The sequence below is a fragment of the Homo sapiens genome, chromosome 2 (genome assembly GCF_000001405.40).
Source record: "Homo sapiens chromosome 2, GRCh38.p14 Primary Assembly".
Taxonomy (NCBI): domain Eukaryota; kingdom Metazoa; phylum Chordata; class Mammalia; order Primates; family Hominidae; genus Homo; species Homo sapiens.
This window is the reverse complement of record NC_000002.12, coordinates 82,025,958-82,028,479: the sequence shown is the minus strand read 5'-3', so window position 1 is coordinate 82,028,479 and position 2,522 is coordinate 82,025,958. Positions and strand designations below refer to the sequence as shown.

General features: G+C 39.1%; 1 annotated feature.

Annotated features, from left to right (window-relative positions):
* Window positions 208–408: a silencer, noted in NCBI's record as "peak3756 fragment used in MPRA reporter construct". NCBI's record gives its function as "represses an SCP1 promoter by STARR-seq MPRAs in K562 erythroleukemia cells {active_cell/tissue: K562}" and the evidence as "EXISTENCE:reporter gene assay evidence [ECO:0000049][PMID:32103011]".

The window sequence follows — 2,522 nt, the reverse complement described above, 5'->3', positions numbered from 1 at the left end:
GTCAAATGCTGCTCTGCTTCCGTTGTAACCTGATCTCTAGACAAATTCAAAAAATTTAAAGTTATGTGAGCCAATTGTAGCTGCATATGGGGAGTAGAGTATTCTGTTTCCCCACTCTGTGTTTTGTTTTTGTCATTGAGAATTTAAGGTTTGATTAGCCTGTTCAACAATGGCTTGGCCTTGAGAATTATAGGGTATTCCAGTACTGTGCTCAATGTGCCATTGTTGAAGGAATGCTTGTAAAGATTTACTACAGTAGCCTGGGCCATTGTGTGTTTTAATCTTTTGTAGGATGCCCATGGCAGCGAAACAGGAAAGTAAATGTCTTTTAATATGAGCAGCTGCCTCTCCTGTTTGGCAAGTTGCCAATACAAGATGAGAAAAGGTATCTATAGTAACATGGATGTATGAAAGTTCCCCAAATGAAGGTACATGGGTTACATCCATTTTCCACAGCATATTCGGGGTTAATCCCCATGGGTTAACACCAGCCCCTTCATGTGGCAGTTGTAGTACCTGGCACTGAGGGCAATGTTGCACAATGTCTTTGCCTGTCTCCAAGTAATCTAATATTTTTGTTAAGTCCTGCTGCATTAACATGTGTTAGGGAGTGAAAATCTTGGGCATTAGTAAGCACAGTGGAAACTAGTAAATCAGCTTGATCGTTAGCCCTTACAAGGGGCCCAGGAATATTAGTACGTGCTCAAATGTGCGTAATATAGAAAGGAAAACAGTGATCACACACTGCCTTTTGTAAAGAAGAAAACAGCTGATAGAGTTGTTCATCCACAAGATATTTAATGAGTACAGTTTCTGTGTATTGAGTGGCTTGAACAACATAAGCTGAATCAGGGACAATATTTACAGGTTGCTTAAAGTCTTCTAACACAGCTATAACTGCCTGTAATTCAGCCCTCTGTGCCGATCGAAAGTCAGTTTGAATAATTCTGTTTTTAGGTCCTACATAAGCTGCTTTTCTATTGCTAGAGACATCTGTAAACACAGTCACTGCTTCTTCCAATGGAGCACTACGGGTAATTTTTGGAAGAACCCATGTAGTTAGCTTTAAAAACTGAAAAATTTTGTTTTTTGGATAATGATTGTCAAAAACTCCAGTGAAGACAACTAAATTTATTTGCCAATTGACTGAACTAACAAAGGCTTGCCGAATCTGATTTTTATTCATTAGTATAATCTTACCTGGATCTGAGCCACAAAGTTTAACAACTCTAAGGTGAGCTTGCCCAATCAAGATTGCCATCTGATCCAAGTATACTGTGAGTGTTCTAATAGTATTGTGAGGCAGAAAAGACCATTCAACTAAGTCCTCATGCTGAACTATAACCCCTGTAGGAGAATGGAGAGTAGGGAACACAATGAACTGTAATGGTAAACTGGAGTCTATTCTATTAACCTTTGCCTGTTATGTTTTTGCTTCAATCATTTGTAATTCTTTGGCAGCCTCAGGAGTCAGTTCTTGTTTACTATTGAGAGCAGGGTCTCCTCTTAAAATAGAGAACAGATTTGACATAGCATAGGTAGGGATTCCCAAAGTAGGTCGAATCCAATTTATATCCCCTAATAATTTTTGAAAATAATTTAAAGTTTTCAGAGAGTCTTTTTGAATTTGAACCTTTTGGGGTTTAATTGCCCTTTCCTGAACCTGCATTTCCAAATATTGGAAAGGAGTGGCTGTTTGAATTTTATCTGGTGCTATGAGCAATCCAGCATTGGCTACCACCTCCTGTAAATATGAATAACACTGGCTAAGTCGGTCTCGATTTTTGGCTGCACACAATATGTCATCCATATAATGGATGATATACGAATCGGGAAACTGATCTCTCTCAGGTTGAATAGTCTTCCCCACAAAAGTTTGACAAATTGTAGAAATACTCAACATACCCTGAGGCAGGACTTTCCAATGATATCTGACTGCTGGTTCCTTGTTGTTCATAGCAAGAATAGTAAAAGCAAATTTCTCAAAATCAGACTCTGCTAGAGGAATATTAAAAAAGGAATCCTTCAAATCTATAATTATTTATGGCCAGTCTCTAGGAATCGTGGGGGATGGAAGCTGGGGCTTCAGGACCCCCATTGGTTGGATGACTGCATTCACCGCTCGTAAGTCGGTTAGCATGCGCTATCTGCCTGATTTTTTATTTATTACAAATACTGGCAAATTCCATGGAGAAAATGTGGGCTCACTGTTTCCTTTGTTTAATTGCTCTTTGACTAATTCCTGTAAGGCCCCCAGTTTTTCCTGAGAAAGTGGCCACTGATTGACCCAAACAGAATTTTGGGTCTTCCATTTTAAGGGAATAGGACTTGGAGGCTCAACAGTAACCACCCGTAAATATGATAACCTAATCCTTTTCAGTCATTTTTTTTACAGTAACCTGTATAGGTTCAATGATGCCCATCTCCTGTTTTCCTAGGCCTTTTCTGGGAACATAGCCCATGTTTGACATTATTTTTTGACTAGCTTGACCATACTGGGGAGAAGGGATTGAAATTTCTGT